The sequence below is a fragment of the Homo sapiens genome, chromosome 7 (genome assembly GCF_000001405.40).
Source record: "Homo sapiens chromosome 7, GRCh38.p14 Primary Assembly".
NCBI lineage: Eukaryota > Metazoa > Chordata > Mammalia > Primates > Hominidae > Homo > Homo sapiens.
The window spans coordinates 1,855,010-1,876,232 of record NC_000007.14 but is presented as its reverse complement, the minus strand read 5'-3'; the positions used below and the strand labels follow the sequence as shown (position 1 = coordinate 1,876,232).

Genomic DNA, 21,223 nt, shown 5'->3' with positions numbered 1-21,223 from the left:
ACCTTGCTTCCTAGGTGGGGCTGCCATGCCGCTACCATCCTCCCGCATAAGTACGTTACAGAGATCTATGGAGCCAAGGGGCTAGTTCACCAAAATAAGACCTGGCCGTGTCCACCACTCTGCTGGTCTGGCTGGGGTTGCCGTCACAGAGCCCCACGGCGGGGGGCTGAGACCGCAAACGTGTGTCTCACACAATTCTGGAGGCTGAAATCTGAGATCAAAGGGCACCGGAGTTGGCCCCTGGGGAGGACTCTCCTCCCGGCTTGTGGACGGCCGCCCCTTGTATTCCTGTGTGACCTTTCCACTGTGCACTTGGAGAGCTCTGGTGCCCCTGCTGGATCAGGACCCACCCTTATGACCTTCATCAGACTTAACTTCCCTCCTTAAAGGTCCTATTTCCAAATACAGTCACATGGGGATTAGGTTAGTATCTAAATTTGGGGGACACAGTTCAGCCTGTAACAGTTGCTCTGCACAGCCCCGCTCGGTTACATCATAGATGTTCGCACACGTCTGTGCACGTGAACTACCTGTTATCTGTTGCACATGCAGCGTTACTAAACAGGGTTCCCTTATACCTCCCGGGGTTCCTGGAGTGGCGTCTTCTCTTTTGCTGGGAACCTTGCCGCCTTTCCTCTCCCTGCCCCTCCCAGCCCGTGTGGGCCACCTGCTGTGTTCCACGCCTTCCTTTCTCCTCTGCTTGTGCAGCGGAAGGTTCTGCCAGCAGGGGAGTTAGTGAGCAGCCAGTGGAGGGTGTGCCCAGCCTTCCTGCTGCAGACCCGCCCCCAAGTCAACACGGACTTCCCTCCCTGCGTGCCAGAACTTCGCGTTGTTCTTAGTGGCATCTGGGGTCGAGGAGGGCGACTGTCAGCCAGTTGGGGGATGTTTTCTTCTTGGTCTCTCGGCTTCTGCTTCCCTGTGAGCTGGGCAGCCTCAGCCCAGGTCCTATCCGGTACTCAGCTGGCCTCGGTGTGCACAGCGCAGGCTTGAGTGCAGCCGTGGGGGCGGGCAGGGCAGCAGCAGGGCCCCTGGGAACAGCTGAGTCTGAAGGGTCAGAAGCCATGGCCCCTGTGGGGGGCTCTGGGGCAGCCAGGGGAGCTGCTCGTTAGTCGTCTCTGGGGCAGAAGGAAGGGACCTTCACCTGGATTGGGACTGGGCCTGGGTCCCCAGTCTCACAGGGAGCTTGTCCTGATTGTACCTGCCCAGCCTGCCCTGCAGAGGGGAAGGAGGCCCTTGGCTCGGAGTATGCCTGCCCTGGAGCTCCCAGGCCCAGCCGGGGCCCGGGGTGGGGGCCACTCACTGGGCACAGGTGCAGGGTGCCTATGGCCAGGCCTGGGGTGTGGCCGGTCTCCATGCTGCAGAGCCGGAGGCCTCTGTGTTCTCTCCCTGCCTTCCCCTCCTCCCTATACCTGCCCCTCCTCTCTACCATCCTACCCAACCTCTCTCTCCTGGAGCCCTCCAGCCCCACCCCTCCCCGTGTACACTAAGTGCCCAGGCGGGAGGGCCTGTGGGTCCTGCTGAGCCACACAAGGCCCCAATCGAGCAGGTAGCAGGTGGTGTGCTGCGAGCTGCTTTTCCCTCCTGGGTCAATTCCTAAGCCCACCAGGCGATCGATGAAGAGCCACCTGCCTCTGGGTAATGCTGATAGGTGAGAGCCACTCAACAGCGCTTTTATTTTTTTTTTTAAGGAAGCCGCACTCAGCCACAAGCTGTGCGGAAAGCTATAGGATTATCAAGATCAAAAGGTCAGCCCTCCGCCTCCTCTCCTCCACCAGAGCCTCACCCTGGCCACGGCGGGTGCTACCCTCGATGTCACGGCCTGGCCACCGTCTTACCCCCGTCCCGGTGCTGCTGCAACGTCTCCTCCTGAGACGCTTCCCTGACCATCCCAAGCCACGGTCACCCCCTCTGTCCTCTGCACTGTGGCCCAGCCTGGCCGTGCGATGACACGGTTGTCTGCCAGTGTGTGTCACCTCCCCAAAGCTGATGCGCTGGTGGGAGACCCCGGGTCTTACCAGCCGTGCACCGAGACGGCCTCGCTGCACTGACCTCTGGCGCCAGCCACTGTCTGCTGGGCAGCCTGACCTTCGTTTTCCATCCCCACTCCGGTGCAGATGGAGAGCCTGGAACACCGTCCCGGGATCCCCGGTGGCCAGGCAGAAGCACCGACCCTAGCATGGGGTGCTCAGAGAGGCCCGCCTGTCCTCAGCCTGGGCCTGTGTGTGTTCCACGCCTCCCCACCGGAACTGACCCTGGCGTGGGGTGCTCCAAGAGGCCCTCTGGCCTCAGCCTGGGCCTGTGTGCTCCACGCTTCCTCCCTGGTGCCGACTTGATGGGCTCAGCATCCATTCTCGTTCAGCCACGGGGAGCAGTTTCAGGGCCAGGAGTCCCTCAGCATCTGGAGGCAGGATAAGCCCTGCCTGCTCCCCAAACACACGTCTCCCCACTGGGCTTCAGGGCCAGCTTGGGCTTCGGTGGGGGTGTCCATCAGGGGTGAGCTGCGGCCCTTGTCAGGGCACATCCTGCACCCGGGGTGCCCACTCCCCCATGGTGGTCGGGGGTTACAGTGAGGGAGGCAGCAGTGGGCAGCTGGTGTGTCCCCTGCCAGGATCTCCCACTACCCCTCCATCCACCGCAGAGCCCCCTGCCCAGCCCCAGAAGAGCCCCTTGGCCCCCATCCGTAGAGAGCCCAGGTGCTTTGCCCGTACCCCTCAGCACTGTCCAGCCCCGGCCGTGCCGTGCTCCTACTAGCTCTCCACCAGGGCTCCCCACCTGCCCCTCCCCACCGCCCCTCGCATCCTCCAGGACTCAGCCCAAATGCCACCTTCCTTGAGGCCTCCCCAACCTCCTCCCAGAGCCCTGCCCCTGCTCCCACCCTCTTGCTGTAATTACAACCCCATTTAGGGCTGGCGCTCTCTAGCCCATTGAGGCCCCAGGACAGGACCCGGACTCGCGCCCCAGCCCGTGAGGTCCAGAGGGGACTCCCCAGCCGGGGATGGGGCCTGTGAGCCAGGCTCCCTGCACACATTTACGGTGGGGGTCAAGGCCCCCCTTATGAAAAGGGACACTGAGGCAGGAGAGGCTGCACCAGAATTGGAACCGGGCCCACCAGCCCCACGGGGGGCTCCTCCCCGCTCCTCCACGGCTCGGCATGCAGCCCTTCCCTGTGTGACTCGTTGCGTCATTGCTGGGCTGGGCCCTTTCTTCTCTCCGTTTCTCACCTGGGGATAAAGTCCCCAAAGTGGGATTTCTGGATTAAAGATCACGGCCATCTCTCTCTCCGTGACAGTTTCCGGCTTTCTCTCCTTCTGACGCGCCCCCCACCCTGGGTGTTTGAATTGACTGGAAGCGTTGACGTTTTATTGACGTCCATCGCGGTGTCCTCTCCAAACAGAACGATCCTCACTGTGGAGTTCGATCTCAGCACACAGAAGGCTCGGAGCTGGCTTTTCATTCCTGTGTTTATTCGTTCAGCAAGCGTTTCTCCATATCACCCGTGTCTGGCCCTGTGCTGGGGGCAGATGAGAGAGGCACGGTCCAGTGCCCAGGAGTCCGCAGCCAGGAGGACAGCCCTGGAGACCTGCCCGTGTGAGTGTGAGCCGGCGGGAGCAGAGAGCGGCCTCTGCCCTGGGCTGCGTCCTGGAGGTGATTTTCAGCCTGGATCCTGTTCTGGAAAGAAAGGCCTCTCGTTCAGCTGAGCCCAGTTCGGTGTCGCAGGCGACTGTTGGATGCCAGACATGGGCTAGACATGAACAGGAGGAGCTGCCTGCCCTGAGGCTCAGGGCCTGGGAGCAGAGACAGACGGGGAAGCCGCAGCGCAGAGGGTGAGGGCTCACCCAGGAGCAGGTGCTGTGGGGAGGCCTGGTGCACCTGGACCAGGGGCCTCACTTCCTGGGGCTCAGGGCCATCGGCCAGGCCGCTGGGCATGACCTGTCATCTGGGAAACGGTGCGGCAGCCCCAGTGTGGCCCCGATCCTCTCTATAGAGTGTTTGAGTCCCAGGCCTGCAGCACCCCGTGGGGCTCACAGTGTGCATGTCTGACCCTGCAGGCAGCCCTGCGGGGTAGGTGTCAGCCTCTCTGTCGCGGGACAGGGGACAGAGGGAGCGCAGATGGCCTGCAGGGTGTGGAGGAGGCTCCCCAAGGCCTGGGGCCTGGACTGGGCTGTTTGGGCCTGTATCTGTCAGCAGGAGCTGCCGCCTGGGAGTCATGCTGGAACACAGCAGAGCCTGGAGATGAGAGGTCTTCATCCTGTCTCTCCCTCCCTCTGCTTTCTCTGTCCTGTGGGCTCTGAGCCACCGTAGTTCTGCCCCCTCTCTTCTCATCTCCTCCACCCCCAAGTGTGGGGACCCTAGACCCTGTCCCCTCCATGTCCCCTCCACATCTCCTCTGGGGCTCCGAGCTGCTGGCCCTCCGGGGAAGCCTGCACCGCCATCACAGGTGCAGGAGTTCAGAGTGGCAGGCGTATGTTGGGTTCAGCGTGGCAGGCGTATGTTGGGTTCAGCGTGGCAGGTGTATGTTGGCTTCAGCGTGGCAGGTGTTATGTTGGGTTCAGCGTGGCAGGCGTATGTTGGGTTCAGCATGGCAGGCGTATGTTGGGTTCAGTGTGGCAGGCGTATGGTGGGTTCGGCGTGGCAGGTGTTACGGTGGGTTCGGCGTGGCAGGCGTATGTTGGGTTCAGCGTGGCAGGCATATGTTGGGTTCGGCGTGGCAGGTGTTATGGTCAGTTCAGCGTGGCAGGCGTAGGTTGGGTTCAGCGTGGCAGGCATATGTTGGGTTCAGCGTGGCAGGTGTTACGGTGGGTTCAGCTTGGCAGGCGTATGTTGGGTTCAGCGTGGCAGGTGTTACGGTGGGTTCAGCGTGGCAGGCATATGTTGGGTTCAGCGTGGCAGGTGTTACGGTGGGTTCAGCGTGGCAGGCGTATGTTGGGTTCAGTGTGGCAGGTGTTACAATGGGTTCAGCGTGGCAGGCTTATGTTGGGTTCAGCGTGGCAGGCGTATGTTGGGTTCAGCGTGGCAGGTGTTACGGTGGGTTCAGCATGGCAGGCGTATGTTGGGTTCAGCGCGGCAGGTGTTATGGTCGGTTCAGCGTGGCAGGCGTATGTTGGGTTCAGTGTGGCAGGTGTTACGGTGGGTTCAGCGTGGCAGGTGTATGTTGGGTTCAGCATGGCAGGTGTTACGGTAGGTTCAACGTGGCAGGCGTATGTTAGGTTCAGCGTGGCAGGTGTTACGGTTGGTTCGGCATGGCAGGCGTATGTTGGGTTCAGCGTGGCAGGTGTTACGGTGGGTTCAGCATGGCAGGCGTATGTTGGGTTCAGCGTGGCAGGTGTTACGGTAGGTTCATCGTGGCAGGCGTATGTTAGGTTCAGCGTGGCAGGTGTTATGGTCGGTTCAGCGTGGCAGGTGTTATGGTCGGTTCAGCGTGGCAGGCATATGTTGGGTTCAGCGTGGCAGGTGTTATGGTCGGTTCAGCGTGGCAGGCATATGTTGGGTTCAGCGTGGCAGGTGTTACGGTGGGTTCAGTGTGGCAGGTGTATGTTGGGTTCAGTGTGGCAGGTGTTACGGTGGGTTCAGCGTGGCAGGCATATGTTGGGTTCAGCGTGGCAGGCATATGTTGGGTTCAGCGTGGCAGGTGTTACGGTGGGTTCAGCGTGGCAGGCGTATGTTGGGTTCAGCGTGGCAGGTGTTATGGTCGGTTCAGCGTGGCAGGCTTATGTTGGGTTCAGTGTGGCAGGTGTATGTTGGGTTCAGCGTGGCAGGCATATGTTGGGTTCAGCGTGGCAGGTGTTACGGTGGGTTCAGCGTGGCAGGAGTATGTTGGGTTCAGCGTGGCAGGTGTTATGGTGGGTTCAGCATGGCAAGCGTATGTTGGGTTCAGCATGGCAGGTGTTACGGTAGGTTCACCGTGGCAGGCGTATGTTAGGTTCAGCGTGGCAGGTGTTACGGTCGGTTCAGCGTGGCAGGCATATGTTGGGTTCAGCGTGGCAGGTGTTATGGTCGGTTCAGCGTGGCAGGCATATGTTGGGTTCAGCATGGCAGGCATATGTTGGGCACCAACTAGGCCGGATGTGACACATCGTGAGCTGCCACCTGCACAGCCTTCCTGCCGACAGTTCTGGGCAGCGGCTCGCATCTGGGGTCAGTCACTCTCCCTGTCTCGGTTCAAGGTCAGGCTTGTTCTGCCGTGTCTGGGCCTCCCACACCTCACCTACCAATGTGGACTCCGGGTTGGCACGGCAGGGGCAGGGGAGGCACGGGCGAGGCACCCCTTGGCTTATGAAGTGCTCCAGCCAGCCGCCTGTTGGACCCCGTTGCTTCCTGGGCTCACAGCCTGCCTTGTGGGACGAGCCTGGGTCCTCCGTCAGCAGCTGGACCTGAACCTGCCTGCCCCATGGAGGCACTTGCGGGAGCCCAGTCTAGGTGTGGTGTGGCATCACCTCCTGCAGGGACAGTCGTGATGTGTTCCATGGAGCCCACGCACGTGATCTCCATGAGGCTGTGGTCCTCGGCCCCCTCAACCCGTGCTAGTGTGACAGTGCTGATTGACAATCGTAGCTCATTACCGACGCAGGCTAATTAAATTACCCTTCGGCAGCTGGAGATGGATGGCACAGCCAGGCTGGAACATGGTTATGTTCCGTTTTGTCACGTTTTTCAGTGTTTTTTCCCGGGTCCCTGTGATACTGAGGTTGGAGAGAAGGGGAGGCAGCAAAGGCGCTGGGAAGAGGGCCCTGGGGAGGTCACCTGCTCCCAGCTGCACGTGGGCTGAGCTCTTGCAGGCCATCGCTGTGCCCAACCCTGGGCTGGGGATTTAAGGAAACCTGGGGAGTTTAGGAACCTGGACTTGGTTCTTGCCCTTGAGAGCCTATAAGGTGGAGTTCAGGGAGAGCTAAGAGCCTGCGCCGAGGTAGATGCTGGGAACTCAGAGAGGCCTCTGGGAGAGGCTGTGGGAGGGGGTCCCAGGCAAGGGGTGCTCTCCACGTGGGCTGACTGCTCCTTCCCTGGCGTTCCCCCGGGCCTCTGTGGCCCCCACAGCAGCGTGTGTGCCTTCTCCTTGAGACCCAACCCCGCCCCATGCCGGCAGCCATGGGGGCGGGCGATGGTGCCTGGGCATGGATCGTTGCTCGGATGTTCCCGTCCCGGGCCTCACCGTCCACGTGTGGCCTGGACCAGTTGCGTCGGTGCCATTCGGGCCCCACCCCAGCCTGCCGAGCCAGAGCCTGCCTTTCACAGAGCCTTGGGGGAGTCCTACACACGCGAGGGTTTGGGCTGTGCCGGGCTAGCTTTCTGCCTGGCGCGGTGAGGCGGCGCTTCCGTGCTCAGCTTCGTCCGTGTGGGGAAGAGGCCAGGTTCTCCATGCAGAGGGTTGGTGTGCCAGGGCTTGCACCGCTGGGCCCCTGTGTGGGGAGGTCACACCTTCAGCTCCTTAGCTGACATGCTGGTCTTCTGGGCGTTCCCCTGGTGGTCGTCACTGCGTCCTGTTGGCCCCTTGGTGCTGAGCCGCATCCCCAACTGTGAGAACTCTCGCCTCTGGTTAAGGCTGTGAACACGCAGTGCGTGTCACTCCTACCCGGCATGGGCTGTGCTGACTTCCAGGCAGGCCGCAAGGGTATCGCATGACGCGCTGGAGAAATCCAAGCCTAATCCCAGGACCCCAGGATGATGCTCCATCCCTGGAGGGACCTCCAGGAGCTCCCTTCCCCACCCCCTGCTGAGCCTGTACTTTCTTTGTGTAAATTATCCGTGGGGTGGGGTGGGTGGGAGGCCTCGCTGGGGAGGACAGACATGGAGGGCCCCACTCCAGCAGCACGCAGCCCGGGAGGCGCGGCCTGCGTGGGAGCAGCCCGGGAAGCGTGGTGTGTGCTGGGCGGCAGCAGCCATGGAAGTCCACGCTGCCTCCACAGTACCCAGGAGCTGGGGAGGCAGTGACTTGAAATCTCAGAGCCAATTCCTTAAAAATCCAGAAAGTTCTAACTGATTTCGGTTATCAGCAGGTGGGGCTTGGCTCCCTGTTCTGCCTCAAGGTTATCTTGGCCAAATTGTCCACCCCAGGGGCCACTGTGGGGTCAGGAGTGCTGGTGTCTGGGGGGCCACAGTGCACCTCGCTGGGCTGAATGGCAGGGTGCAGGAGGGCCCACTCTGAGCGGGCACGGCAGGGACAGTGCTTACAGAGGTCAGTAGGGGAATTACTGCTGGCGTCTGCTCAGCGCCATGTGGGGCAGGGCAGGGCACTGGCCACACAGAGGACAGATGTGGAGGGCCCCTCAGAGACGGTTGTCGCCCCGTATTAGGGAAGACGGGAGAAGCGAGCACAGACACTGCTCTAATTATGTGGCTCTCATCTGGGCAGGGACTGCCTCCGATGCATCGCCATTTATTTTTAATAAGTCGTTGGAACAACTTCAGCTCCAATTATTGTCCCAGAGCTGATGGCAGGGGCCAGTGCTCAGCCCGTCCAGTCCCTCCAATGAGGGACTGTGTCACCTCCCTGTGCCACCCCTCCCATCCCCTACAGCCACCCTGCAGGAGCTCTGCCCCGGAGGCCAGGAAGCGTGGCCCTTCTCCCTGCCTGCAGGAGGCCTCAGGCGCAGGTTCCTGGAATGGAAATTGGGCCCGAGCCACCGGTAGAATCTGGCAGAGTGCTGCTGAGATGTGCAGAAGCCTCCGCGCCCCATGGCCCACCTCGCTCCTACTCACTGCACACCTGCAGTGGGATGCATGGCCCGCTTTGCACTCTGCAGAAGATTGGGCGAGCAGAAGGGCCAGATCTGTCCCAATTCCTGCGGCCCCCAGAGGAAGCTGCTGCCACCGCCTCATCCAGACCTGGAGCTCAGGCTGCAGTGCCGCCTTCCATGCTGGACCCGCTTCTCTCCTCTACATCTTCCGGGGGGGTCCTGCGGAGGCAGCCAGCACCTCTTCCTTGTCCCACACTTCCTTGTCCCGGCATTCCCCTCCTCCATTAGCCCCGAAGGCCTCTGGAGCTTGGGCTGGGCATGAGCTTCATGTGTGTCCCTGGCATGTGGTCAGTGATGCCAGGGGAGGCCTACGGTGCCCATGTCTGTGGCACTGACCGTGCCATCCATCTCACCAGCTTCTGCCTGCCTCTGTCTCCCACTTCGCCCCAGCTTGGCCCTAGATCTCCAAGTACTGCAGCCGACCTCAGCCCCTCACCCACTGGGCCAGCAGGTGCTGCTGTGGTGACCCACTCTGCGGTCAGGAGCCCAGCGGGCCCTGTAGTGAGTGCTGCCCACTACCTCCCCTACCTCCGAGCTGCACCTCCCCATCCCTACTGCAGGAGGACCGCTGTGGGCATGGAGAGCAGGCCAGCACAGTGAGACGCCTGCAGGAGCCTGGCCCAGCCAGCGCTGGCAGCTGAGCTGCCCATCTCTCCTCCTTGGCCCTCACCGGGCCCTATGTCGCTGCCTCCTGCTGCTTCCCCAGTCATGGTACACCCTCACTGAAGGCCCTCAGGGCTCCCGTCAGCCCGTGGAACAGATCTAGTTGGTTTTCACGATGTTCCCTGCCCTTCACCCCTGCCTGCCCCCAACGCTCCCGCCAAGCAGGACTGCTCTGGGGCTGGCCGGCAAGAGGTGCCATGGCCTCTGCGTTGCCTGCCTGTCCGCAGCCTCCCGTGGCGTCTCACACCAGCAGCTTCTCTGTAGCGCTCCCTGAGCCTCCTCTTCCCCACTTAAGACCTCTCCTCAGCACAGTGCACCCTCGTGTCTCTGCCCCAGAGACTGGAACCGTCTGGAGGGTGGAGCTCGCTCTCATCTCTTGCTTCAGCCCTTTGTTCCTGGGAGCATGTTACGGCCTCAGCCTGCAGTGGGGGCACAGGGAGCTTTACAGAACCAGTTAGGGTTCCAGGAGCAGGCTCTGCAAGGCTCCACCCTTGTCTTGGAGGGCAGAGGCTGTCGGGACCCACAGCGCAAGGGCCTAGGCGTCTATCTCCTCCCACCTGGGCACCTGGCTCCCAGAGCGCACCCGGGCTCTGCACCACCAACCTGGGCACCTGGCTTCCAGCATGTACTGAGGCCCTATACTCCCAACCCAGGCACCTGGCTCCCAGTGTGCACCCGGGCGTTCTGGCCCCCCTCCCACCAACCAGCCCTGCTGAGCATCTGTGCTCCCACCCACGGTCTGTCAGGGGGCACTCGTGGTCTCTGACATGGACATCCCTGGCTATCCCAAGAGTTTTGCTTCAAAACCAGCATGGTTCTCCAGACCCAGGACCACCCCACCCTCCCCTGGGGCGCATCACGGCTGTCTGCCTGGCCCATTGCGGGCCGATGGTGCCTGTCACGCTGGCAGGCTTGTCCAGGGCTTCCCCGAGGGCCCAGTGGCTCACTAGAGGCTGTCATCTGGCTCGTGGAGCCCCGAAGCCCCCAGGCGGTGCACAGGGCCTGCAAGCAGGAGGGGCTGCCATTCGAGAGAGAGAGCAGTCGCTGTAGATCCCGTAGCAGCCGCTCTCTGGGTCTGTGCCTTTGCGTCTCCAAGGCAGCCAGTCCTGATTAACTGTGCAAACTTAATTAGTTCACATCAAAGTTTGTGGAAGGCATTCCTCAAGGGATCTTGTGTGAACAGCCTCTGGTTACCAAGAGGCCTCAATTCCACACTGAGGTGATGGTATTAATATTGAGTATCCCTTCTCAGGTCTCCAGTCCTCCCTGCATCGTAAAAAGACTCATCTTCCCATCTGGCTGCTCCGTCGCCCTGCGCTTGTAAATAATATTAAAGCAATTTCTTCTGAGGAGACTGAAGGGAAGCTTGCAGGGCAGGGTGTCCTGAGACCTCTGAAAGCTCTGCTGTGGGCACTCAGGGCTACAGCCGGGCAGCAGCAGGGCTGGGATGCCCCGGGGCTGGCACCAGGCCTGGGGGCCCCATCTGTGCCCGGCAAGGTCAGCTTTGACTCAAGGGACAGGCAGACAGGCCTTGCAGACCCCCAAGAGCTTCTCTCTGGCCCTTCTTTCCCCAAGGAGGAGCCACTGTGGAGAGCTGGGGTCTTGGTGGGAAGCCTTGGGCCCCTGACTCTGTGGGCCAGATCCCATAGGGTGGGTGCTTGTGCACGCCTCACGCATGTGCCCCCTTCCGGGAGTCCCAGACAGGATGGGCCTGGTCACCTGCTCTGGACAGGGCAGACTGGGGACAGGGATGCTCCCGGAAGGGTGTCACTAGACAAGTGAGAGCGTGGTCAGTGGGCGTGAGGTGGGGACTTGAGCTGCGGGCGTGGTAGGTGTCTCAGTGCTTCAGTGTGGCTATACTAGAGCTCCTGAGACTGCGTGGTTTATGAGGAGGCTTATTCGACACAGGATTCTGCTGGCTGCAGAGTTCAAAATTGGACATTTGCATCTGGCAAGGTCCTCAGGCCGCATCCACTCCTGGCAGAAGTCGAGGGGAGCTGTTGTGTGCAGAGAGTACGCAGCGAGAAAGGGGCGGAGTGGGGGCGGGGGGCACCAGGCTCTCCCAACAGTGGGAACCCCCTCACCCCAGGGAGGGGGCCAGTCTGTTCACGAGGGCCCACCCTCACGGCCAAACACCTCCGGTTAGGCCCCACTCCAGTATCGAGGATCAGGGGTCCACGTGAGGTCGGGAGACAGACGTCCAGGCCACAGCCCCGCATGGGGGAAGGGCACCGCTGCAGCAGTTCTGGGCATCAGCTCGTGTGGATGTCTAAGGAATATTTCCTCGTCCTGACAAATTGCCCAGCAACTGTGTCATGGGGACTTTGCAAATCCACCCTTTAAAGACTCCCGGCAGGGGGGTGTTCAGAAGCCAGAAGCAATTTGGATAATGACCCATCCAGCCCTGAGCCCCAGTCAAAAGGAAGGGCTGGACCTTTGATCTGCAGGTTCCCTGGAGCTCTGGCCAAAGGCAAGTTCCCCCGAGTCCCGTCCAGGAAAGGGGCCCCGGGTCTGCCCTGCAGGGAGCCAGTGCTGAGCTGAGACAGGCCATGAGCCCTGCAGCCGCCTCCCCTCCTCCTTCAGGTGTTCAGGTGTCTCTGCTAGCAACACAAGTGGCCAGGAAAGCGGCTCCCCAACTGTCTGACCCTCCTGGAGACCCTGGCCCGGGGTCTTTGTTCCTCTGCAAGTCCCACCGGGCTGCGGGAATTCCTCCGCAGGGCCGCCCCGTCCCCATCCTGGCCAGTTTCTCCCTCGGCTTTCCTCGGGGCCCAGGCTGGAGTGCAGTGGCGCGATCTCGGCTCACTGCAACCTCTGCTCCTCCAGAGTAGTTTTAAGCAGTTCTCTGCCTCAGCCTCCAGAGTAGCTGGGATTACAGGTGCGTGCCACCATGCCTGGCTAATTTTTTGTATTTTTAGTAGAGACGGGGTTTCACCATCTTGGCCAGGCTGGTCTTGAACTCCTGACCTTGTGATCCACCTGGCTCGGCCTGCCAGAGTGCTGGGATTACAGGCAGGAGCCACCGCGCCTGGCCTTCCTCGGGGCTTTCTATCCTTGGGCCCCCGGGTGCCTGACGGGGCTGCAGGAGCACGGGAGCCCACGGTGTTCCGGGACTGCAGGCCGGCCACCCTCCACCCAGGAGCTCCAGGGAGCGGAGGGGCAAGATGGGGCAGGGCAGGGCAGCTGAGAACACAGGCTGAGCCCAGCGCGTGGGGTGTGGGCAGGTGACGGTCTCTGCAAGCCCAAGTCTCCTCCTGGGTCTGGGGGTGAGATGTGGCTGAAGTGCTGCTCAGGGGTCAGCCTCAGTACTGGCTCCCGGGCCTTCAGCCAGGCCGTGCTGTGCGGGGGCTTGTTCCAGACCCTCCCCAGGACTGAAGTGCTGTCTCATCTTTCTCCTCACAGAGGCCCTCAGTGGACCGCGAGGTCTCCCCGCCCAGGCCTTGTGACGGCCGTGCCGCTGGCCCCGGGCCTGCCGGTAGCTGCCTTTCTGCAGCCAGACTGTTAACAGGCTCTCTGCGGACCCTCACCAGTGCCTAACTAGATCCTGGCCCCAGGCCTTCCTCCCTGCCCTCTCGGGCCTGATGAGCCGCACCCGGCATTCACCCCGCCCTGGGCTCCGCTAACCCCGTCTTCGGAGGCCGAAGGAGTGAGGTCTTCAGCCCGTGCTGAGGCGGCCTCCTCGTGCGCTCAGATCTGGACGCCACCTGGCTTGCGGGGCTTGGGGCTCCCTCCTCTGGTTGGGGGGTTGGATGGAGGGTGCGGAGTGCAGCGTCCCCTCCCAGCCTCCAGGCCTGTGCAAGACGGCCCCACAATCAGCAACCAGGCAGTGAGGAGGAGGCTCTGGGTCTCCCCAACACATGTGGGACTTGTCTGATCCCCTGAAGACACGGACTCAGTCTAGTGCCCATGGGACCCTGACATCTGACCCTGCGGGCCCCTTTCTACGGCCGGCAAGTAGCTGTGGGCCCAGAGCCCACCTCAGACCAGTAGATGAGGGTTTCGGTGAATTGTTTTGTCTCTTTTGAGTTTGTTTTCATCGTCACTCTATTTATAGCAAGCACTGTTTTTTTTCATTTTACAGCAGTGATGTAAAGCTTCCTTTTTCACTGGGCCTATTGAAGCTAATAAGGAAAGTTGGGTTAAAGAAAATACTAAGTAAATAACAGGCCTGTAGGCAGACCGTTACCTAGATGGCAGCCACTTGCTGGACCGGCCAGGGCCGATGCCCTCAGCCTCCAGCAATGCCCCCTGAGTGGATCTGATGAACTTTATTGTACAGAGGATTCTGACACTGTGAAAGGTTGAGAGACTCACACAGCTTGGGAGGGGCAAGGCAGGGAGGGAGGGATCCAGGTCGGCCCTGCTGCAGTCTCGGGACTCTCCGGCACAAATCCTCAAGCCCCTGCCTCTGGGGTCCCCACCAGACTTCATGCACAGGACAGGGACATGAGGAGGGAAGGCCTCTGTGGAGCTTTGCCGTCTTCTAGGGCACAGTTCAAACTGTGGCTGCTTCTGCCTCCCAGGGGACCCGTGGCAACATCTGGAGATATTTCAGTCCTCACAGCTGGGGCCAGGCTGTTGGCCTCTGGTGGGCAGAGGCCCGGGGTGCTGCTCGGTGTGCTGAGGAGACCAACCCGGAGTAACCTGGCTCCCGAAGTCCAGAGCACCGAGGCTGCGGGGTGCCGCTCTTGGGGACGCCCCAGACACCCCTGAGCAGCTCCCCGAGTTTCTCTGTGGAGGAAATGGGTGGGGGTGTCCAGCCATGGCTGATGCCAGAGGCTCTGCAGGTCTAGGAGGCCTTCAAGAGACTCACTTCTCTAGTCACTCTGCGTCCCCTGCATGGCGGTGGGGCTCTGAGGCTGAGGGCACACCCCAGCCCTCTACGTTCCCAGCAGCTCCTGGGCTGGGGGGCCAGGAGTCCCTCCAACCAGGGGGCAGGCGGAGCAGTGTCCCTCCAACCAGGGGGCAGGCGGAGCAGTGTCCCTCCAACCAGGGGGCAGGCGGAGCAGTGTCCCTCCAACCAGGGGGCAGGCGGAGCAGTGTCCCTCCAACCAGGGGGCAGGCGGAGCAGTGTCCCTCCAACCAGGGGGCAGGCGGAGCAGTGTCCCTCCAACCAGGGGGCAGGCGGAGCAGTGTCCCTCCAACCAGGGGGCAGGCGGAGCAGTGTCCCTCCAACCAGGGGGCAGGCGGAGCAGTGTCCCTCCAACCAGGGGGCAGGCGGAGCAGTGTCCCTCCAACCAGGGGGCAGGCGGAGCAGTGTCCCTCCAACCAGGGGGCAGGCGGAGCAGTGTCCCTCCAACCAGGGGGCAGGCGGAGCAGTGTCCCTCCAACCAGGGGGCAGGCGGAGCAGTGTCCCTCCAACCAGGGGGCAGGCGGAGCAGTGTCCCTCCAACCAGGGGGCAGGCGGAGCAGTGTCCCTCCAACCAGGGGGCAGGCGGAGCAGTGACGCTTCTGTTTAGAGGCGTGTCCTGGCCCTTGTGGCCTTTAGTCCCCACCTCAGCCCCGTTGTCACTGGGAAAGGATAGCTTCAGCCAGGTGGAGCCATGTGCCCAGGGCCCTTGCCTAGAGGGGGACCAGCCCGGTCTCAGCCCAGCCCCCACCGGACCCAGCACCTGCCCTGCTCCCCAGAGCCTAGCCGTGGCCGAGCCCCAGCCTCAGCCCCGGGGGGTCACCAGCCTCCTGCCCGTCTTTGGTGGTTGTGGTTTGAATATGGAGGCAGTTGTCCAGTCAGGGGCAGGGTGAGCGGCCGCCTCTGGGCTTGCGTGCTGGGACTTGTGCGGTACAGACTGGGTGTCCCAGTGACGGCTTCCGAGGGGAGGGGCGGGCCAGGACAGAGGTGGACTCCATCGGGGCAGCTGCTGGTACAACCACCTATAGACTAGCCCCTCCAGGCAAGACCCAGAACTGGGTGGGAGATTTGACGGCCGGCCTGTCTGCCATGAGCTGGAGCTGCCGGAGAGCCCAGAAGGCACAGGGGTGACCCAGGGCAGCCTTGAGCTGTCCTCAGTGCAGTGCCCTTGTGCTCGGGATGCTCACGGCATCCCTTCCTGAGGCCGAGAGAGAGCACTTCAGAGAATCCTGAGATGTGAGCGGAGGTCAGGCCCCGGGGTGATGCCCAGGATGATGCCCAGGGGATCCTTATTCCCTGAGGCCGGCAGCCATGTGGGTGCAGTCGCCAGTAGCCCCTGCCCTCGGTTAGGCACCCAAGGGAGCCCCCAGGCAGAGCTGGGCAGCTTCGTTTTCCAGACCTTCACTGGGGAAGAACAAAGCGTTTTGTGAGGGACGAGGGACAGGAAACAGAGGCCACCCTGCAGGTTGTCACATTTAGGGAAACAGAGGCTGCCCTGCAGGATGTCACCCCTAGGGAGACAGAGGCTGCCCTGCAGGATGTCACCTCTAGGGAGACAGGGGCCACCACAGGATGTCAGGTCTAGGGAGACAGAGGCCGCCCCGCAGGATGTCAAGTCTAGGGACACAGAGGCCGCCCCGCAGGATGTCACATCTAGGGAGACAGAGGCCGCCCCGCCAGATGTCAGGTCTAGGGACACAGAGGCCGCCCCGCAGGATGTCAGGTCTAGGGAACAGAGGCCGCCCCGCAGGATGTCATGTCTAGGGACACAGAGGCCGCCCCACCAGATGTCAGGTCTAGGGACACAGAGGCCGCCCCGCAGGATGTCACATCTAGGGAGACAGAGGCCGCCCCGCCAGATGTCAGGTCTAGGGACACAGAGGCCGCCCCGCAGGATGTCAGGTCTAGGGACACAGAGGCCGCCCCGCCAGATGTCAGGTCTAGGGACACAGAGGCTGCCCCGCAGGATGTCAGGTCTAGGGAACAGAGGCCGCCCCACAGGATGTCACGTCTAGGGAGACAGAGGCAGCCCCACAGGATGTCACGTCTAGGGAGACAGAGGCCGCCCCGCAGGATGTCACATCTAGGGAGACAGAGGCAGCCCCGCCGGATGTCACATCTAGGGAGACAGAGGCCGCCCCGCCGGGTATCATGTCTAAGGGAGACAGAGGCCACCCCGCTGGATGTCACGTCTAGGGAGACAGAGGCCGCCCTGCAGGATGTCAGGTCTAGGGAACAGAGGCCGCCCTGCAGGATGTCACGTCTAGGGAACAGAGGGAGCCCTGCAGGGTGTCAGGTCTACGGAGAGCACCAGCTGAGGGGCTGGGGCTGTGCCTGGGGCCTGTCTCCTCCCTCCTCTGCAGGGCTGCCACTGGCATCCACTCCTTGCTGGCAAGGTCCCCATCATGGGTGCCATAAGGTCCCCAGAGAAAAACATAAAGTCCTGGCACCTGGGGCCACTCAGATCCCACTTGTGGGGCTTCCAGGTGGGATGCGCTCCGCCTCGCAGCCACCTGCCCCACCTGTGGGCAGCACTGACTTTTCAAAGCCCTTTGCACGGTAGCCGAAACACATATCCCTGTGGCTCTGCCCTGATCCTTCCCTGTGCAGAATGAGTTGGAATCAACGGGGAGATGCAAGCTGGAAGGGCCGATATGGAGACGCCTGGTGAACCTGCAGCCCCAGGAGGCTGTCGTTGCCACTGTGGCCTGGTCAGGGTTCTGATCATCACAGCTGCTGCGCACCCAGCTGTCTGCCTGAGCGTTCTGGGAAGTGGCTCTTCCTTCACACCAGGGGGAGGCAGGCTGGGGAAGCCCGGCGCCATCTCCCACTGCCTCTCTCAGGCATCTGGCCCTCCTGCGTGTGGGGTTGTGTGTGGAGGTCTGCTCCGTCTCTGCAGGCCTCTCTCAGGTGCCTGGCCCTCCTGCGTATGGGGTTTGGTGTGGAGGTCTGCTCCATCCCTCCACCTCTCCCATGCAGGCCGAGTCGGGGGACGCCCCCCAGATCTGAGCTGTGTCTGGGTGGCCTTTCAGAGCCTCAGTGGAAAGGCGTGGTGGTCCAGGTGGGTTGCAAGTCATGACCTGGGCCCCCTGCCCTGACCTGGGATCTCCCAGAGGTGGTCAGGCCCTGTCCCTGAAGCCAGGAGGGGCAGAGGCTCTGACTGCCCGTGCTCGTGAAGCATTCCTGCTGGGCCTACTTTCCAGCTGGGGGCCCCTTGCCCTGGGACCCCATGGTGGCCTAGTCTGTGGCCTCTGTGGCTTTCCTGTGGGCCTCGTGTCTGTGTAGCCCATGCGTCCTCGCCACCATGTGCCCTGCGCATGTTCTCACTATCCCAGTCTGCCCTGCACTGTGGCGTGGGTCTGACCCTAGCAGCCCCGCCAGGTAGGAGGAGGCACCGCGGGCGTCCTGGTGCCGGGACAGGGTCAGCAAGACCTGAATGAGTTTCAGGGCTGACCCCAGGACGCCTGTCCCTCAGGTGTGCAGAGGTGGGGGCACCACATGGGAGCCGGAGACGCCGTGGACGCCACCCTCTCACACGCAGAGCCCCTGGGTGGAAGGGAGGCCTCAGAAACCAAGGATTTCAGAGATCTCCAAGCCAGGTGGAGGCTGAGCCAAGGCAAAAACAAAAGCCATTCATCCCCTGTCATGCCCAGAGTGGGCCAGGAACGGAGTTGGGGTCCGGCCTTGGGGTGCAACTGGCCAGCCCATGTCCCCACTCAGATCCCAGCACCGCTATCTCCTGGTTGTGGCGAGCAGGGGACTCTGCCTGTGCTCCAAGACTCCCAACACTGCCACCGACGGGCGCGCCAGTGATGAGTTCCCTGCTCTCAGCCTGAGCCCGTGCTGAGGAAAAGCAAGCCTAAGAAATTAAAGCAGCTTTTAAATGTTAGACCTACCAATTAAAAAAAAGCAGTCACATGGAAACGTGCATTTTCCAGAACTCTGTTGTTTACTCCGTCATAATTAATACAGGCAGGGAGGAAAGTTCGGGCTCTGTGGACAGCGGTTGCCAGCGTGGGCCACAGCCAAGGGACTCGGCCCTGGGGACGGGAGGAAGGGCTGCCTCTGCAGGTTCTGCAGGGCCGGGGTGGACAAGAGCCTCCCTGGGCCCCCAGCCTGGAGGTCCCCAGGCACCACCTGCCTTCCTGGACTGAGTGGATGAGAAAGACAAGGACTGGCTGGGACATCAGAGCCTCAGAGGGGGCGTCGTGCTGGCCTAGCCGGGCAGGCCTCAGATGTAGCAGGACCAGGACGTCCCCCGGCCCCTGGTGAGCCCTGGCCTTGCCCACACTCCTGTGTCCTCTTTTTTGCTCCAAGGCCCCTCTTCCTCCTGTCCAGCTGGCCCAGCCCTTCCTTGTCCTTTCCCAGGCAGCCCTGGTCCAGGGGCTCATCCTCGGGCCCAGCCCCCTCACCTGAGCCCCGTTCATCCCAGCCGCAGCAGGGCAGAAACTCAAAAGATGGCAGCGAGGGGACCGTCCTGTTCCTCTGTCTGAAAACTCAGCTGCACACGCGGGGTGGGGGACTGTGAGGAGTGCCTATGTGACAGCAGAGGCCTGACTGTGGGTCATGGGGCCAGCAAGGGACCAGGCTGTGGCTGGCTGCCTCCCGGGGCATGACCAGGACACCGGCAGGCAGCCCTACCTTGTGCCGCCCCCCGAGCACAGCAAAGGCGGGTTTCAGGGGCCCTGAGCACTGAGTCAGAGGCTGTGGAAAGTCATCGCACCCACCCTCGCCCGAGACGTGGGACAGCCGTGCCTCCTGGTGGGGCTGCTGATGAAATCCTCGGGAAGGTGCCAGTACGGTCCGCGCTCGCGGCTCTTGCCTAAGAAACCGTGGCTCTGGCTGCTGTTGGTGAGGAGTCCTGGAGGTTCCCAGAGCCTCGGGCACCGAGGGGGAGACCCTGACACTGTCCTGCCTGCCCCACCAGTCTGCTCCCCGCAGCTCCTCGTCCTCACCCGAGTGCTGCTGGAGGGTTGGCAGGAGGCGTGACCAGCAGGGTCCAGCACAGTCAGGGTTTCCTGGGGGGTCCAGGAAACAGGATGAGCTGCTGTGTGGCAGCTCATGGTCAGCTCGGTCTGAAGGCCTCCCTGGGGACACACAGGCAGCGAGGTCCAGGCTCCCTCTCCCTCCCCCAGGGTGACAGAGCCTGGGAGAGGCCCGCAGGAGTCCCTCCAGCCGTTGTGGCCCGAGACCACGTTCCAGGGTTGGGTTACGTGTGGAACGTGGAGGCACGCGGGGTGCGCGTGGGCCCTGCCGCTGGCAGGAAGCAGGGACTGGTCTGGAGCGCGGCGGGGCTATGCCATCTTCGGGGCTGTGCCATCTTCCCTTCTGGGTTTGTGGAGGAGCCGCGAGCAGCTCCTCCTGAACTTTTCTTTATTAATGAATCTTATCTCTGCTCACACAGCACGCAGCGGATACAGGCCGCGGGTGATAAGCAGAGAGCGAGCAGGCCCCAATGAGAAATTACCTGCTCGTAGCCAGCAGATTAGCCGACAGCTGGCCAGCGGGGGCTGTGGGGGTGGGCGGTGCTCCGCGCGCTGGTTCCCCCTTCCCATCCCCCAACCCCGGCAGGGGCCGCTGGAGGCAGGGGGCCCCCACAGAGGCTGGCCTGTGGGGACTGGCGGGTTCTTCCCCGAGCACCTGGGACAGGCTGAGCCCAGAGCGTGGCCCCACGTCTTCAGCCAGAACCGAAGCGAGATGTTCCTTCCCTTCATTTCTCCCTGCGCCCAACCCGACCTGCTGGCCCCACAGGCACACCCCTCCCCGGTCCAGCCATGTCCCTATTCAGAGGCACGTGTGGAGAGGCGTCAGAAGCAGGAGGGCGCGGGGCCTTGCCACAGGCTGAAGGTCTGTGTCCCTCTAAAATCCATACGTTGAAATTCTAACGCCCAAGATGAGGGATTAGGAAGTGCAGCCCTTGGACTGGGATTAGCACTTTATGAAGAAGCCGAGAGCTCCCTCACCGCACCCCACGTGAGCGCACCGCGAGGAAGTGCCTCCCCTCAGCAGACACCACGTCTGCCGGCGCCTTGAGTTCCCACTTCCACTCCAGAACCTGAGCAGCCAATGTCTGCTGCTCATAAGCCACCCTGTCTGTGGGGTTCCAGCAGCTGGACGCAAAGAGACAGAGCATTGGTACCAAGAGTGGGGTGCAGCTGTAACAGACCCCGAAAGCCTCTCTGGAGCTGGGGAGTGGGAGAGGCTGGAAGGGTTGGGGTGGAGCCTGTGAAAAGCAGATGTTGCCGAGAACAGGCCATGAAAGGTGATGCTGGTGAGGGCTCAGGAGGAAGGGAGGAGCACTGTGGAGGGAGCCCCCATCTTCCTGCACAAGGAATGCTCCCAGAATCTTAGGAGGGGGCACGGACAAGGCCGCTCTGAGGAGGCCGTGGGTGTGTGTGGTGGTGAGGGGAGACCCGCCTCGGGTGGAGCTGGGCTGGGCTGGGCTGGGCCCGGGCCGTGTTTTCTGGAAAGTGAGTGTGTGAGGGATGAGACTGGAGATTTGGCCACAGCTCTTTCCAGGCCAGGCGTTGAGGTGCAGCCTTTCCTCCCGCTGTTATAGTCAGATGCGGGCACAGAGGGGCGGCCTAGGATGGCATCAAGCAGAAGGAAGCGGAACTTAAGCACCTGGGGAATGCTCAGCTTGTCGCTGTCATCGCTGCTGGAGAAAACGAGAGCAACCCTAGGGAGAGAACCCTAGGGTGTGGCCCGCAACCGTTTGATAGGGAGGCTCGTGTGGGTGTGACCTCAGGCCCCGTCTGCCACTGCGGCAGAGACACCGCCAGCTGGAACCAAAGAGGAGGGAGACGGGAAGGATGAGGGAGGCTGTCGACTTGGACTTGACATGACAGGACCACAGAGCTGTCGGCCGGCAAACACGCGCGGCTCTTCACCGCAGAGGAAGGGTGACCCTGAAGGTGGTTCGGAAAACTCCCAGCCGCCGATGCCTTCTTCAGAGGGGACCGCAGCCCACGTGCCTCCCACA

The 21,223-nt window shown here is 62.2% G+C and overlaps 1 protein-coding gene across 6 annotated transcripts in view, besides 9 other annotated features; it reads left to right on the top strand.

Moving 5' to 3' along the window:
* The window catches only part of MAD1L1 (mitotic arrest deficient 1 like 1), a 417,151-nt gene that overhangs the window by 356,713 nt on the left and 39,215 nt on the right, over nucleotides 1-21,223 (top strand). The window lies entirely within an intron of this gene.
* Nucleotides 1,628-2,600: an enhancer, noted in NCBI's record as "H3K27ac-H3K4me1 hESC enhancer chr7:1913269-1914241 (GRCh37/hg19 assembly coordinates)". NCBI's record gives its function as "activates a minimal SCP1, AML or CMV promoter by ChIP-STARR-seq in primed H9 embryonic stem cells {active_cell/tissue: H9 hESC(primed)}" and the evidence as "EXISTENCE:reporter gene assay evidence [ECO:0000049][PMID:30033119]".
* Nucleotides 3,231-3,400: an enhancer, noted in NCBI's record as "experimental_98143 CRE fragment used in MPRA reporter constructs". NCBI's record gives its function as "activates a minimal promoter by MPRAs in K562 erythroleukemia cells, with activity observed for both the introgressed and non-introgressed 7:1912554 or rs73046375 variant alleles {active_cell/tissue: K562}" and the evidence as "EXISTENCE:reporter gene assay evidence [ECO:0000049][PMID:34662402]".
* Nucleotide 3,315: a transcriptional cis regulatory region, noted in NCBI's record as "Neanderthal adaptively introgressed variant 7:1912554 (GRCh37/hg19 assembly coordinates) or rs73046375 in the experimental_98143 CRE". NCBI's record gives its function as "modulates activity of the experimental_98143 enhancer by MPRAs in K562 erythroleukemia cells {active_cell/tissue: K562}" and the evidence as "EXISTENCE:reporter gene assay evidence [ECO:0000049][PMID:34662402]".
* Nucleotides 12,241-12,915: an enhancer, noted in NCBI's record as "H3K27ac-H3K4me1 hESC enhancer chr7:1902954-1903628 (GRCh37/hg19 assembly coordinates)". NCBI's record gives its function as "activates a minimal SCP1, AML or CMV promoter by ChIP-STARR-seq in naive H9 embryonic stem cells {active_cell/tissue: H9 hESC(naive)}" and the evidence as "EXISTENCE:reporter gene assay evidence [ECO:0000049][PMID:30033119]".
* Nucleotides 13,850-14,666: an enhancer, noted in NCBI's record as "H3K27ac-H3K4me1 hESC enhancer chr7:1901203-1902019 (GRCh37/hg19 assembly coordinates)". NCBI's record gives its function as "activates a minimal SCP1, AML or CMV promoter by ChIP-STARR-seq in primed H9 embryonic stem cells {active_cell/tissue: H9 hESC(primed)}" and the evidence as "EXISTENCE:reporter gene assay evidence [ECO:0000049][PMID:30033119]".
* Nucleotides 14,667-15,484: an enhancer, noted in NCBI's record as "H3K27ac-H3K4me1 hESC enhancer chr7:1900385-1901202 (GRCh37/hg19 assembly coordinates)". NCBI's record gives its function as "activates a minimal SCP1, AML or CMV promoter by ChIP-STARR-seq in primed H9 embryonic stem cells {active_cell/tissue: H9 hESC(primed)}" and the evidence as "EXISTENCE:reporter gene assay evidence [ECO:0000049][PMID:30033119]".
* Nucleotides 17,104-17,910: an enhancer, noted in NCBI's record as "H3K4me1 hESC enhancer chr7:1897959-1898765 (GRCh37/hg19 assembly coordinates)". NCBI's record gives its function as "activates a minimal SCP1, AML or CMV promoter by ChIP-STARR-seq in naive H9 embryonic stem cells {active_cell/tissue: H9 hESC(naive)}" and the evidence as "EXISTENCE:reporter gene assay evidence [ECO:0000049][PMID:30033119]".
* Nucleotides 17,911-18,718: an enhancer, noted in NCBI's record as "H3K4me1 hESC enhancer chr7:1897151-1897958 (GRCh37/hg19 assembly coordinates)". NCBI's record gives its function as "activates a minimal SCP1, AML or CMV promoter by ChIP-STARR-seq in naive H9 embryonic stem cells {active_cell/tissue: H9 hESC(naive)}" and the evidence as "EXISTENCE:reporter gene assay evidence [ECO:0000049][PMID:30033119]".
* Nucleotides 18,719-19,526: an enhancer, noted in NCBI's record as "H3K27ac-H3K4me1 hESC enhancer chr7:1896343-1897150 (GRCh37/hg19 assembly coordinates)". NCBI's record gives its function as "activates a minimal SCP1, AML or CMV promoter by ChIP-STARR-seq in primed H9 embryonic stem cells {active_cell/tissue: H9 hESC(primed)}" and the evidence as "EXISTENCE:reporter gene assay evidence [ECO:0000049][PMID:30033119]".